At 44.5% G+C, this 14,678-nt stretch overlaps 1 protein-coding gene across 4 annotated transcripts in view, besides 2 other annotated features; it reads right to left on the minus strand.

Annotated features, from left to right (window-relative positions):
• Positions 1-10,831, minus strand: part of YIPF1 (Yip1 domain family member 1) — a 38,065-nt gene extending 27,234 nt beyond the window's left edge. For 2 of the 4 annotated variants that reach the window (NR_036639.2, NM_018982.5), the window contains exons 1-4: positions 10,747-10,831; positions 10,278-10,497; positions 9,941-10,020; positions 4,147-4,310 (exon numbers count right to left, since the gene is read on the minus strand). Coding sequence is in view for 1 of the 4 variants with exons in the window: in NM_018982.5 (NP_061855.1) it covers positions 4,147-4,310; positions 9,941-9,971 (195 nt within the window). In the remaining 3 variants the exon portion in view is untranslated. The remainder of the gene's footprint in view (positions 1-4,146; positions 4,311-9,940; positions 10,021-10,277; positions 10,498-10,746) is intronic. The other 2 variants (NR_036640.2, NR_135075.2) reach the window with 2 other exon arrangements.
• Positions 9,590-9,884: a silencer, noted in NCBI's record as "tiled region #6831; HepG2 Repressive non-DNase unmatched - State 16:ElonW". NCBI's record gives its function as "represses a minimal TATA promoter and a strong SV40 promoter by Sharpr-MPRA in HepG2 cells {active_cell/tissue: HepG2}" and the evidence as "EXISTENCE:reporter gene assay evidence [ECO:0000049][PMID:27701403]".
• Positions 10,770-11,064: an enhancer, noted in NCBI's record as "tiled region #3939; HepG2 Activating DNase unmatched - State 1:Tss, and K562 Activating DNase matched - State 1:Tss". NCBI's record gives its function as "activates a minimal TATA promoter and a strong SV40 promoter by Sharpr-MPRA in HepG2 and K562 cells {active_cell/tissue: HepG2 | K562}" and the evidence as "EXISTENCE:reporter gene assay evidence [ECO:0000049][PMID:27701403]".

The following is a 14,678-nucleotide window of genomic DNA, read 5'->3' on the forward strand; positions in this document are numbered from 1 at the left end:
TGGCAAATCACTAGACTCCTGCTGGGCTTAGTTCCCTTATCTAGATTCAACAGTATATAGAATTATGTACAATAATAAATACATATACACACATACAACACATACAGAAGGCAGTCAGTGTAAATATCTTTTCGCTTTTTTTTTTTGAGATGGCGTCTCACTCTCTTTCCCAAGCTGGAGTGCAGTAGTGCAATCATAGCTCACTGCAGCCTTGAACTCCTGGGCTCAAACAATCTTCCCACCTCAGCTTCCCAAGCAGCTGGGACTACACGCGTACACCACTATGCCCAGCTAATTGTTTAATTTTTGTAGAGACAGAGTCTCATTATTTTGCCCAGGCTGGTCTCAAACTCTTGGGCTCAAGTGATACTCCCGCCTCAGCCTCCCAAAGCACGGGGATTACAAGCGTGAGCCACTGCATCCAGCAGTGTAAATATCTCTTCCTCCCCCATCCATCCACAATCCTCCCTACTATTGCCACCTGAATTCTCAAAAATCTGATATATTGACTCACTCTAAAGTACTAAAAATATTACTACTCTGACAAAAAAAAAAATCCTATTGAGAAGAGGCACCTGAGGAGGGCCATACCCATCCCAACAACACAGCTCTTTGGTGGCAGAATGCATGCCCAATGCCAGGAATTGTGCCTGTCATCTTCAGATATCCGAAGGGAATTCATACAGCAAAAAGTACGGTGAACACTGAGCTGCTTTGCAGGACAAGGGCAGGTGCTATAGGCAGATATTTTTTGTTCATTATAAAGGAAAACGGATGGCCGATTAGAAGTAGCTGTGGTCTGCAGCACTCACAGAGAGGAGTGAAAGCGGTGAATGAATTCAGCACCTTCAACTGAAATACCCAGGTTCTTGCATTGGGACTGACTAGGCAAGTAGCTCGACCCACGGAGAATGAAGAAAAGCAGGGTGGGGCGATGGCTCACCCAGGAGCAGCACGGAGACAAAGGAACACCCATCCCCAACCAAGGAAAGCATTCCCCTTGAAAACCAGCACAAGACATGGATGCCCTCTCTTATCACTCCTATTCAATAGTATTAGAAGTTCTGGCCAGGGCAATCAGGGAAGAGAAACAAATAAAGGGTATTCAAATAGGAAGAGGGTATTCAAATAGGAAGAGAGTAAGTCAAATCACCTTTGTTTGCAAGATGACATGTTTCTATATCTAAAAAACCCCATCATCTCAGCCCAAAAGCTTCTTAAGCTGGTAAGCAACTTCAGCAAAGTCTCAGGATACAAAATCAATGTGCAAAAATTGTTAGTATTCCTATACACCGACAACAGGCAAGCAGAGGGCCAAATTATGAATGAACTCTCGTTCTTTTGTATGAATGAACTGCTACAAAAAGAATAAAATACCTAGGAACAAGGGAAGTAAAGGACCTCTTCAAAGAAAACTATAAACTACTGCTCAAAGAAATAAGAGAGGACACAAACAAATGGAAAAACATTCCATGCTCATAGTTAGGAAGAATCAGTATTGTGCAAATGGCATACTGCCCAAAGTAATTTATAGATTCAATGCCACTCCCAGTAAACTACCATTGACATTCTTCACGGAATTAGAAAAAAACTATTTTAAAATTCATATGGAATCAAAAGAGAGCCCAAATAGTCAAGACAATCCTAAGCAAAAAGAACAAAGCTGGAGGCATCATGCTACCTGACTTCAAACTAAACTACAAGTCTACAGTAACCAAAACAGCATGGTACTGGTACAAGAACAGACACATAGACCAATGAAACAGAACAGAGAACTCAGAAATAAGAATGCACGTCTACAACCATCTGATCTTCGAAAAACCTGACAAAAACAAGCAATGGGGAAAGGATTCCCTATTCAATAAATAGTGCTGGGAGAACTGGCTAGCCATATGCAGAAAACTGAAACTGGACCCCTTCCTTATACCATAAGCAAAAATTAACTCAAGGTGGATTAAAGACTTAAATGTAAAACACAAAACTAAAAAAACCCTAGAAGAGAATCTAGGGAATACCAGCTGGGCGCGGTGGCTCATGCCTGTAATCCCAGCACTTTGGGAGGCCAAGATGGGTGGATCATGAGGTAAGGAGTTCGAGACCAGCCTGGCCAATATGGTGAAACCCCGTCTCTACTAAAAATACAAAAATTAGTTGGGCATGGTGGCACGTGCCTGTAGTCCCAGCTGCTTGGGAGGCTGAGGCAGGAGAATCGCTTGAACCCAGGAGGCGGAGGTTGCAATGAGCCTCCAGCCTAGGCGACAAAGCAAGACTCCATCTCAAAAAAAAAAAAAAAAAGAAAAAGAAAGAAAATCTAGGGAATACCAATCAGGACATAGGCATGGGCAAAGATTTCATGATGAAAACACCAAAAGCAATTGCAACAAAAGCAAAAATTGACAAATGGGATCTAATTAAACTAAAGAGCTTCTGCACAGCAAAAGAAACTATCTTCAGAGTGAACAGACAACCTACAGAATGAGAGAAAATTTTTGCAATCTATCCATCTAACAAAGGTCTAATATCCAGAGTCTACAAAGTACTTAAGCAAATTTACAAGGAAAAAACAACTCCATTAAAAAGTGGGCAAGGGACATGAACAGACACTTCTCAAAAGACATACATGTGGCCAAAAAACATATGAAAGAAAGCTCAATATCTTGATTTGAGAAATGCAAATCAAAACCACAATGAGACACCATATCATGCCAGTCAGAATGGTGATTATTAAAAAGTCAAGAAACAACAGATGCTAGTGAAGTTGCGGAGAAAAAGGAATGCTTTTACACTGTTGGTGGGAGTGTAAATTAGTTCAACCATTGTGGAAGACAGTGTGGCGATTCCTCAAAGACCTAGAGGCAGAAATACTATTTGACCCAGCAATCCCATTACTGGGTATATACCCAGAGAAATATAAATCATTCTATTATAAAGATACATGCACATTTATGTTCACTGCAGCACTATTCACAATAGCAAAGATACGGAATCAACCTAAATGCCCATCAATGATAGACTGGATAAAGAAAATATGGTATATATACAACCATGGAATACTACGCAGCCAGAAAAAGGAATGAGATCATGTCCTTTGCAGGGACATGGATGGAGTTGGAAGCCATTATCCTTAGCAAACTAACACAGGAACAGAAAACCAAACACCACATCTTCTCACTTATAAGTGGGAGCTGAATGGTGAGAACACATGGACACATGGGAGGGGGAGCATCAGGAAGAAGAGCTAATGGATGCTGGGCTTAATACCTAGGTGATGGGGTGATCTGTGCAGCAAACCACTGTGGCACATGTTTACCTATGTAACAAACCTGTACCTCCTGCACATGACCCCTGAAGTTAAAATAAAAGTCGAAGAAAAAACATTAAAGAAAAACATTTTCACAATTAAAGTCGACAGTGGCAGCAACTGCCTTACATGGTGGTAAACAGCCCATTCCTGGAGGTACTCAAGCAAGTGTTTTCAATCTTTCCTTTTTTTTTTTTTCTTTCTTCTGGAGACAGGGTCTCACTCTGTTGCCGAGGCTGGAGTGTAGTGGTGCAATCTCAGCTCACTGCAACCTCTACTCCCCAAGCTCAAGCAATCCTCCCACCTTAGTTTCCCGAGTAGCTGGGGCTACAGGTGTCCACCACCATACTCGGCTAATATTTTGTACTTTTTGTAGAGGTGGAGTTTCACCATGTTGCCCAGGCTGGTCTCGAACTCCTGGGCTCAAGTGATCTGCCCGCCTCAGCCTCCCAAAATGCTGGGATTATATGCGTGAGCCACCACGCCTGGCTCCAAGTGTTATCTTTCCTACATAGCAAGGACAGCATCAATATCTCAGGAGAGAGGCTAAAACAGAGGGCCATGAAGGTTCTTTCCTACTCTAATATTAGAAAATATTGAGCATGGGAGTCCCACATTCCATAAGCTAGGATCTCTGCTCACTACCCCAGTGTTCCCCTCCACAAGTGTACTTACGGAAAGTAATGGTCTGTTTGCCTGTTTCCCCCACCAAGGAAGAGGCCATGTGTCATTTACCTCTGAGCTGTCATTGCCTGACACTGTACCTGGCACACAGTAGACAGTGAATAAGCACATAAACAAGCTTTAAAAATTGTTTAAAAAATATCTCAAAGACAAGTTCAAACCTCAGTTTTGTCAGAGTCATCATTTCCCAGTAACTCATCATCTTCTTCTCTTCCTGAGCCTCTTGGGGATCCTGGCTGATGTTTTGGGGTTTCACCAGGATCCTCAATGTTTACTGTGGTGGCATCTGGGTTTGCTGTCAGAGAAGTGGCTGCATTGCCAAATTCTGAAATCAATTAGAGCACACGGGCCTCAGAAACCTTACCCACACTAGAAATGCTATACTTTGAATTTAAAGACAAGCTGTCACAACCTCAGCTTTGCTATAGACCCTACCTGATACAAAGGGCAAAAGCTTTGAAAAACAAAAAATCTCATCAGGAGATCAATCTGATATAGAAAAATGACTATGAAGACAACAGAATTTGGAGTCAGACCTAGATTTTGGTTCTGGCTCAGCTAGCCACTTACTAAATACACAAGCCTGAGTAAGTAACTAAACCCCTCTAAACCTCAGTGTTTTCATCTGTATCATGGGGAGAATAACATTTATTTTAAATAATTTTGGGAGAACAAGGAATATAATCTAAGTCCTAAACTTTACTTCTTTGATTCAAGTCCAAAAAATTTTAATGAAGGTTATTTTTTCCAGTAAGTCTACATAATCACTACAGAAAATATGGGAACAAAAATGAAAGTGGGATCAGCTGCGCACAGTGACTCACGCCTGTAATCCCAGCACTTTGGGAGGCCAAGGCAGGCGGATCACCTGAGGTCAGGAGTTCGACCAGCCTGGCCAACATGGTGAAATGCTGTCTCTACTAAAAATACAAAAATTAGCCGGGTGTAGTGGCACATGCCTTGTAATCCCAGTTATGCTGGAGGCTGAGACAGGAGAATCACTTGAACCCAGGAGGCAAAGGTTGCAGTGAGCCGAGATCACACCACTGCACTCCAGCCTGTGTGACAGAGTGAGACTATGTCTCAAAAAAAAAGGAAAAAAGAAAGTAGAAATCACAGGATAAAAACCACTCTTAGGCCAGGCATGGTGGCTCATGTCTATAATTCCAGCACTTTGGGAGGCCAAGGCAAGAGGACTGCTCGAGCCTCAGAGGTAGAGGCTGCAGTGAGCCGTGATCATACCACTGTACTCCAGCCTGGGCAAGAGAGTAAGACTTTGTCTCAAAAAAAAAAAAAAAAACCCAAAAAACAAAAAAACACTCTTAGTTCTACCACATAAAGGCAAACACTATTAACATTTTAGTATATTTCCTTTTCTTCACATAGTGAGATTCATGCCACTGATGATCATTCATTTATTCAACAAATATTTACTGCATGCCCACAATGTGCCAAGTACTGATCTAGAACATGATACTATAATTAATTTTGCATCCTGCTTTGTCAAGATTATGTAAAATTGGGGATTATACACAAAAATGATTTTTCATATAACAGTCTCTTAAAATGATCACTTATGTGACTGCATAATATTCCATCAATGAAGGTTTTCTTACAAATACAAAAGGAGTGTCTGTGTAGAAAAAGCTTTTTGGGGGGCAGCCTTAAGATGAACACCTATCAGTGTGATCACTAGGTCAACAGGGTGCAAACCATTTTCAAGGATCCTGAACCATGTTACCAAACTGCTTTCCAAAAGAACCTTACCTACTTGTGTCCACCAGCAGTGATTGAGACTTCCTGTCTCCGAATATCCTAACATACTTTATTTCAGCTGCTCTTGAATAAAATTCAGGGCAGCTCTGAACCTTCGAAGGCCAAAGGAAGAGTGCCAGCAGGGCACCATTATAACACTACAAGCAGGGCACCAGTCCTAGCAGTAGGACAGCTGAGTTCACTCTTATTGCCTCTCAACTATATGAGCAGTTTTATGGAGAACACTAAAGTGACTGAAATTAATCAGGTAGCTAATATGCAACAATTACTGAAGCCTCAATTGGCAATGTTTGGGTAGTTTAAGCAACATGAGGTTCTGGAGTGAGATGGTCCTTTGTTCAAGGTAAGACTCTTAATACTCAGTAGCTCCATGACCTTGAGCAAATTACTCCATGGCTCTGAGTCTCTGTTTCTTCAATTATAAAACATAGATAATACCTACCCCACAAAGAGATTTTGAGGATGATGAAATAATAACTATCATTACAGGTACCTCTTATTGATTGTACAGGGCAATGACATTTAAAAAGATAGTCACAACTTTGCTGGAGGGAATTAGACCAAGGAAGATATACTTAACTCTCACAGTTAAAAAGCAGTAGTTAAAATAACTAGAAAAGTATAACTGAAGCTGGGCGTGGTGGCACACACAAACTGGTGGTCCCAGCTACTTGGGACGCTGAGGCAGGAGAATCGCTTGAACCCAGGAGGCAGAGGTTGCAGTGAGCCGAGATCGCACCACTGCACTCCAGCCTGGCAACAGAGTGAGACTCTGTCTCACAAAAAAAGAAAGAAAAGTAAAGTATAACTGGGCTGGATGCAGTGGCTCACGCCTGTAATCCCAGCACTTTGGGAGGCTGAGGCGAGCAGATCACTTGAGGTCAGGAGTTCGAGACCAGGCTGGCCAACATGGTAAAAACCCATCTCTACTAAAAACATAAAAATTAGCTAGGCATGTTGGTGGACACGTGTAATCCCAGCTACTCAGGAGGGTGAGGCACAAGAATCGCTTGAAATGGGAGGTGAAGGATGCAATGATCTGAGATCATGTCACTGCACTCCAGCCTGGGTGACAGAGCGAGACTCGGTCTCAAAAAAAAAAAAAAAAAAAGAGAGAAAAAGAGTATAATTGGATTGTTTGTAATACAAAGGATAAATGCTTGAAGTGATGGACACCCTGTTTACCCTGATGCAATTACTACACATTACATGCCTGTATCAAAATATATGAGTGTACCCTGTAAGTATATATACCTACTACATACCCATGAAAATTAAAAAATTTTTAAAAAGCAGTAGTTTACCAGGGGGAAGGAATGCCAGAAGGAGGAACAGACAGTACCACTTTAGAAGCACAAAGGTCAAAAAGGCCCCAAGGAGGGCGATAACTCCTCTAGTTATTGGGATCAGGAAAGGTTTCTTGGAGAAGATACCATATGAGAAGGATGGCCAGAGGTGCTGGGGATGGCATCTCATGCAAAGGGAAGGGGATGAGCAAGACCCAGAAGATGGAAAGTGTGCCCGTGATGGAGGGACAGTGACGGCATAGTTTGACTGGAGTGTGGGCTGCGTGTACCCCTAACATGACGACTCTTCACACAGTCTGCTCTGTGCTGGTTATTCTTGTCCATCTCAGCTCCTTGAGCATAAAACTGGTATGTGTCTTATTTCTGCCACCAACATTCTCTGCTTTTACATCCTGGCATATCCTAAGCTAGTTTCAGCCTCTGCTCCTTTCCTGAAACAATGCCTTTCACCTGAAGGCTTCTGACCTCTACTTTTTCATCCAATACTACCGTTCCTCCCCGGAGAAGCCTTTCATGACCCACCCCCCGCCACCCCACCCCCAGCATCCTGTGTGCTTTTCTAAAGACCCAAGTCCTTAACACAGTTGATAAAGCCCTGGGTGATTTGTCACCTGCCTCCTCCTAAGCCTCACCTTGTGTCAGCTTTCCCCACCATCCGTGATCTGGAACACAAGTGTTCTCCCAATCCTTTAGGAAAAAAATTAAACTTCCTCACTCCACAGGGGCTTTTGCGAGGGCCACTGTCTTTAAACTTTCTTGCACTGCACTCCTAGATAGGATGGCTGAGGAGGGTCTCTCTAATGAGGAGAGATTTGAACAGAGCAAAGAAGCAAGCCATAAGGCTATCTGAAGGGAGAATGTCCCACACAGAAAGATGGCACAAACATCCCAAGCTGTGAATGTACTTGGTGCATAGGAAGAACCGTGACAGCCCATGCAGCTTGGGCAGAGACAGAAAGGACGAGAGCAGCAGATGAAATCAGAGGGTTGGAGGCTGCATCATATAGGGGCCTCCTAAGCCACAGTAAGGGCTCTGGCTTTTTCGTTTTTGTGTTTGTTTGTTTATGTTTGAGATGGAGTCTCGCTCTGTCGCCCAGGCTGGAGCACAGTGGTGCGATCTCGGTTCACTGCAACCTCTGGGTTTGAGCAATTCTCCTGCCTCAGCCTCCAGAGTAGCTGGGATTACAGGCGTGCACCACCATGCCCAGCTAATTTTTGTATTTTTAGTGGAGACAGGGTTTCACCATGTTGGCCAGACTGGTCTCGAACTCCTGACCTCAGGTGATCTGCCCTCCTCGGCCTCCCAAAGTGCTGGGATTACAGGTGTGAGCCACTGCGCCCAGCCTGGCTTTTTCTTCTAGTGAGATGGGAGCTACTGGAAGGTTCTGAAAGAATGACATGATCTGCTTGAGTTTTAGAAGGACTACTCTGGCTGCAAAGTACAGACTGTAGAGGGATAAGGGAGGAAGCAGAAAGACCAGAAGGAAGGTAAAGGCTATAATTCAGAAAAAAGGTGACAGTGACCTTGAGCATGGTGAGAGTAGTGGTGGAGGTGGTCAGATGCTAGATGAATTTTGAAGACGAGGTTGACAGTATTTGCAAATTGAGGTGGATTTCTAGTACTTGCAAATGAAATAGATTTATCTTTAAACAGTGTATCTCTTCCTTAGATAACAGAGACAGCATAAGCTGTGATACCAGACTGGATGGGTTCAAATCCTGATTTTATCCCTTACTAACTGCGTGACCATTAGGCAAATTATTTTTCTGTGCCTCAGTCTCCTCATTAATAAAACAGGGGAATAAAGTAACTATTTCATAAAGTTGACATAAGGATTATCTGTACAGGATTTAGAACAGTGCCTGACATATAGTAAATGTTAGGTAAGGTGTTAATAAAACAAGTAAGTGGGCCAGGCCTGGTGGTTCATGCCTGTAATCCCAGCACTTTGGAAGGCCAAGATGGGTGGATCACAAGGTCAGAAGTTCGAGACCAGCCTGGCCAATATGGTGAAGCCCCGTCTCTACTAAAAATACAAAAATTAGTCGGGTGTGGTGACGGGCACCTGTAGTTCCAGCTACTCAGAAGGCTGAGGCAGGAGAATCGTCTGAACCCGGGAGGCAGAGGTTGCAGCAAGCCAAGATCGAGCCAAGGCACTCCAGCCTGGGCAACAGAGTGAGACTCCATCAAAAGAAACAAACAAACAAACAAACAAGTGTTCATCAATCCCTAGCCTAAGTCAGGCTCTGGGTTATGAGTCCTAATATCTCCTTGAACTTTTCCTCCAGCACTTTCATAGTTTGTAGGTATATATTTAAATGATCATTTAATAAATACATGTCCCCCTCACTAGACTGAGAGCTTCACAAGGAAACTATTTTGTTCACTCTTCTATCCCTGATAACTAGAACAATTGCCCGGTTCCTGGTCACAACCAGGAGATATTTACTGATTCAATGAGGGAATGATCTGATCACATTTCATCCTAATGATCTTTTTACATTTTTATCTACTCCACCAGTGGATAAACTTCTTCATCTTTTTGTCTCCAGTATCTTGTACGGTTCTAAGCACAAAGTAAGTGCTCAATAAATGTTTTCTGAACTAAAGCAGGAACTGTGTAAGCATTTTCTGTAATCACTGTACTAAATTTATGATACTCGTTACCAATCTGAAGGGTTATCTGGCAAAAAAAACAAAAACAAAAACAGCTGGTGTGGACAAACAGGAAACACCTGGATGTGGCCAACAGCCACCAAGATGTTTGAAATAATATCCTTCAATGTGTGAGGCAGTATAGGAATGAAAATACTTGCTGTGACTGTAGCAACAGTGATCATAAATATAAAGGTGGGCACCCAACTGGTATACCTTCAAATTGCAAGTCATCTACTGCTGCCATTCGGCCAGTGAGTCTTCTCCCAATTATGAGGAAGAAAATTTGCAGGGTTCTAAAAGAAAAAAATAGGTAAACATAATAGGATGACAGTATAAAGTATCTGCAAACAACTCTTATGTATTAGAAATGGTATCACTTTCCCTTGCCTCCCTTTTCAGTGGGGTTTAATAGGTTTATATAAAGATAACCACTAAGCATCAGGTATTATTAAATATTAAAACTGTAACAAAGAAACTAACCCCGGGGATCCAAAGGTTCCAATTCAACCTTATTTGGTTGTGTATGTACCAGGAATGAATCTCAACTCACTGTGTGAATGTTTAGAGAGCAGGTGCAGCCTAGAGATGTAACGATGAGGAAGGAGAGGCTGAGGTTTGAAAGAGGTGATGGGGACAGTGAAGAACAAAGGCAGTTCAGCCTAGCCAGTGGTTAAAGGCACAGGCTCTGGGGTCAGACAGAGCTGGGTTTGATTCCCGATTCTGCTGCTTCTCTGCTGTATGCGCGCTCCTCGCGGCCTCAGTTTCCTCATCTGTAAAATGGGTGCATAACGATACCTAGTCACACAGTGCGGGGGTCATTAAATGGGAGTGCGTGTAAGGAGCCTAGAGCGGAGTCAGGCAATTAGTAGGCAATGGGGTGTCGGCGACCCTGCAGCCCGGGACACCGCGAAGCAGAGGCAGTGTTTCAGGGAGAGGAGCTGGGCCGCGGCGGCCCGGGCGGGCAGGAGATCCTGAACCCCCTTAGCCTCGTACAGGTCCCGCAAACTCGGCAGCCTCACCTCGCGGGGTTAGGCGTCCCCCGGGTCCCGAGAAGGCTCGGGCCTCAGTTGCTCCGCGCCGGTTTCGGTCCAGCCCAGTTGCCGGAAGCCGGAGATCCGGGGGGCGGAACCTCTCCGCCTCCTCCGGGAAGAGCCCCGCCTCCTTAAAGAGACAGCAGCTCCCAGAGAAACCTGCGTGCTGCGGCGCGCAGAGCCCGCTCCCGCCCGCCCTTCTCCCGAGGCTGAGCCTCGAGTTCTTAAAGAGACAGGCGAGGGCGGAGTGGTGGGGTCGCTGAGTGTGACTACTTGGGCTGGCCTTGCTCCAGGGAACGTAGAAAATTCTCGAGTTTAGGGTTTTCTTACTGTGTGTTTATACCTCTTTTCCTAAGGAAATATAAAATCGGGTGATGAAAGACGATTGTGAAAGAAAAAATTAAGTCACCCGCGTCACCAGTCCCTCAGTTTCTTTTGGCCACAAAAATTTCACTGGTGAGAAAGTACATGATGAGTCAATTACATTCTGAATGAGTGATCGAAAGCGCGATGTCTGTTCGTATGAGCACCCCCAGTAAGTGAGCGCTTGGAAAGACTTTACATCTAATAATAGCCATATATAGTGTATTTTTTTCCCCAAGATGATCATGATCAGGCTTTGTACATGCAGGATCTCTAATTCTCAGAACAATCCTGCTATCTTGGGGTGATTATCCTCATTTTACAAAGAGAAAGCTGAGGCTTAGAGCATGTGCAGGGCACTTTTGGTTGAGTATGTACCAGGAATGAATCTCAGTTCATGAATTCAGCTGTGCTAGTATATCAGCCACCTCTTATGTCCCATTTCAGATCATCTTGGCCTCACCTGCTGCTTATTTCACCGCCACTCATCTTATTCCAGCGTCAGCAGATATAACCTGAGTGAGCTTGCCTCCAGTCTATGCCTCAGGCTTCTCACTTTCTGCTTCGAGGCTTGTTTCTTCATGCGATGGGGCCATGGGACCTTGCTGGAGCCAATCAGCACCCAGACAGGTGCATCCCAGAAGTGTAGGGGTAGAGAGTTGTTAATGTCTCATGAGGCAAATCTCTGACCAATGGGGTCAACACTTGATGAATATATGCTTTTCCTGTTTTTCCCCCTCAGGCGCCCTTTCATATAGCTTTCAAACTACCTAGCAGGATTAAGCAACCAAATGCCTTTGGAAGTGACGCATTTGACAATGCATCTTCGCAATGGGTCTCCTTCCTTCCCTGATATACAAGCCCTGTACTTCACTCCTGGTGCTTGGATTCATACTTGCCAATAAACTACTCATATGAGGAAGCAATATGAAGGCATGTTGGTACCAAAAGTGGCCCCAGAAAATAAAACCTTAGGTTGGCATTTTCTAACTGAACTGCGCACCAGTCACATGGCAACAACAAATATATTGCTGGTGTTAAGGGGAGAGAGAAGGAGGGGGGTGGTGGTGGTGTGATAACACTTAGAATAGAATGGCATCACAATTACTAAGGTGTCTGTCTGCAGTTGATTGGGATAACGTGCAGGTAGAAGATAAGGTGCTGAGTTATCTAGTGGCTGTGGCACAGGAACATTAAGAGGACAATGGTAATTATAAGGACTATGGAATGGACTGGGTGTTCTTAACTCCATTGGAAACCTTGAAAATAAAATGACAGACTTAGAACAGCCAACTGTCAACTTGAGGCACTTTGTGAAAGCTAGAGAGCCTCTATGGCAGCTTTGAAGATTCTTATTCTTCTATAGCCTTGAGAAAGACTGGACTGAAAATCAGGCCCAAGATCTAATTGTAAGGGTGGCAAAGTTTCAACGAAGACTGAATGCACAGCCTCTGTAGGTCTCCTCCATCAAAGCTGGGGCATTGTCAGAAAATGAATGGGAACCTGAGAACTGGGATGAGGATATTTGGGTAGGAAAGCCTGAGACTTGACCATCCCTCGTTTCCAGTTTCCCTTGAATCTTTCAAGGGAAAGGTGGCTGTGGCAGAAGTAGTCCTTTCCCCCTTGTTAAAGGAAAGCAAAGTCCTCTTGCTTACGGATCCTGCAATGATTACCTGCACAACATTGCTTTGGACTAAGGGACCAATTTAATTGTAAAGAACATGCAACAGTGACACATAACCATGGGTCTTACCCACTGGTCTTACCATGTGACTCAGTCATCCAATAGTAGGTGGCCTAATAGGATGGTGGAATGGCTTGTTAAAGGCACAGTTAGGGCTCCAGGTTGGGGAAAATACTCAGGAGACTGGGGCATTGTCCTCCGGCATGTAGTACATGTACTAAACCAATGGTTTATCAATTATTTATAATGGTACTTTGTTCTAAATACCTATAGATTTGCAAACCAAGGGGTAGCACTTCTTACTATCACTTTCAGTGAAACCTACACACATAGAATGTGTGCCTCCTGCGTCACAAGTTTAAGTTCTGCTTGGTTGGAGATCCTGGTCCCAGGGAAGCAGGGAAGGCGGAGAGAGAACACTTCCATTCCAGTTACAGTTCCACTGAATTGGAAGCTGTAACTACCACTTAGGCATTTTTGGCTTCTCATACCACTGCACCAGCAGGTAAAGAAAAGAGTGCCGGCTGGGCGCGGTGTCTCACGCCTGTAATCCCAGCACTTTCGGAGGCCAAGGTGGGCGGATCACCTGAGGTCAGGAATTCGAGACCAACCTGGCCAACATGGCGAAACCCATCTCTACTGAAAACACAAAAATTAGCTGGGCATGGTGGCACACGCCTGTAATCCCAGCTACTTGGGAGGCTGAGGCAGGAGAATTGCTTGAACCTGGGAGGCGGAGGTTGCAGTGAGCCGAGATTGTGCCACTACACTCCAGCCTGGACAACAGAGCGAGGCTCTGTCTCAAAAATAAATAAATAAAGAGTGACACATGGTGGGGAAAATCAGCCCTGATTACTTTAAGAAGTTGGGGGCTGGGCATGGTGGCTCATTCCCATAATCCCAGCATTTTGAGAGATCAAGGAAGGAGGATTGTTTGAGGTCAAGAGTTCAAGACCAGCCTGGGCAACATAAGGAGAAGCTATAACAGTCACAAAATTTGCCGGGTTTGGGTGGCACTCCTGTAGTCCTAACTACTCTGGCTGAGGTGAGAGGATGGCTTGAGCCAGGAGTTTGAGGCTGCAGTGAGCTATGATCACACCACTGCCCTCCAGCCTGGTGACAGAGGAAGGAAACCCCGTCTCAATTATTTAAAAAAAAAAAGGTCTTGGGTGTATTTTAAAACACTTCCCAACTCTGAGCTCTATGATTCTTCTTTCAGTTTCTCCAATGAGCCATGCTGTCTCTGGCTTCTGGGCCTTTGGCCATGTGGTTCCTTCCACCAGGACACTATCCCCACTTTAGCCAGCTGACTGCTTGCCGTCTTTCTGGTTTCAGCATAGAAATCACTTCCTCAGTGAAGTCCTCTTGACTTCTCTAACCAGAATTAGCTTCCCCTTCTCCCTGCTCTCGTAGCCCACGCACACCCTCCGCCTCTGGACTTCATTTAGGAAATGGTAGTTTTTTGTTTACTTGTCTATTCCCCGCACTAGACCATGACTTCCTTGAGAGAAGAGGGTGTTTTATTTGTCACTCTATGCCCAGTGCTAAGGGGAGTTGCAGGCCCCAGGTTTTGTTAGAAATGGTCCCATTTCTGTCTCTGCCCTGGGAGGTTTGAGATCCATATCCCCTGGGGAGGGCTCTGACTACAGAAATAGTCAACCACCAGCTAGAAGCCATGATTGGGGGCCGGGTGCGGTGGCTCGAGCCTGTAATCCCAGCACTTTTGGAGGCCAAGGCGGGTAGGTCATCTGAGGTCAGGAGTTCAAGACCAGCCTGACCAACACGGTGAAACCCTGTCTCTACTAAAAATACAAAAATTAGCCAGGCGTGGTGGCAGGCGCCTGTAATCCCAGCTACTCAGGAGGTTGAGGCA

The sequence above is a fragment of the Homo sapiens genome, chromosome 1, assembly GCF_000001405.40.
Source record: "Homo sapiens chromosome 1, GRCh38.p14 Primary Assembly".
Classification (NCBI taxonomy): Eukaryota; Metazoa; Chordata; class Mammalia; order Primates; family Hominidae; genus Homo; species Homo sapiens.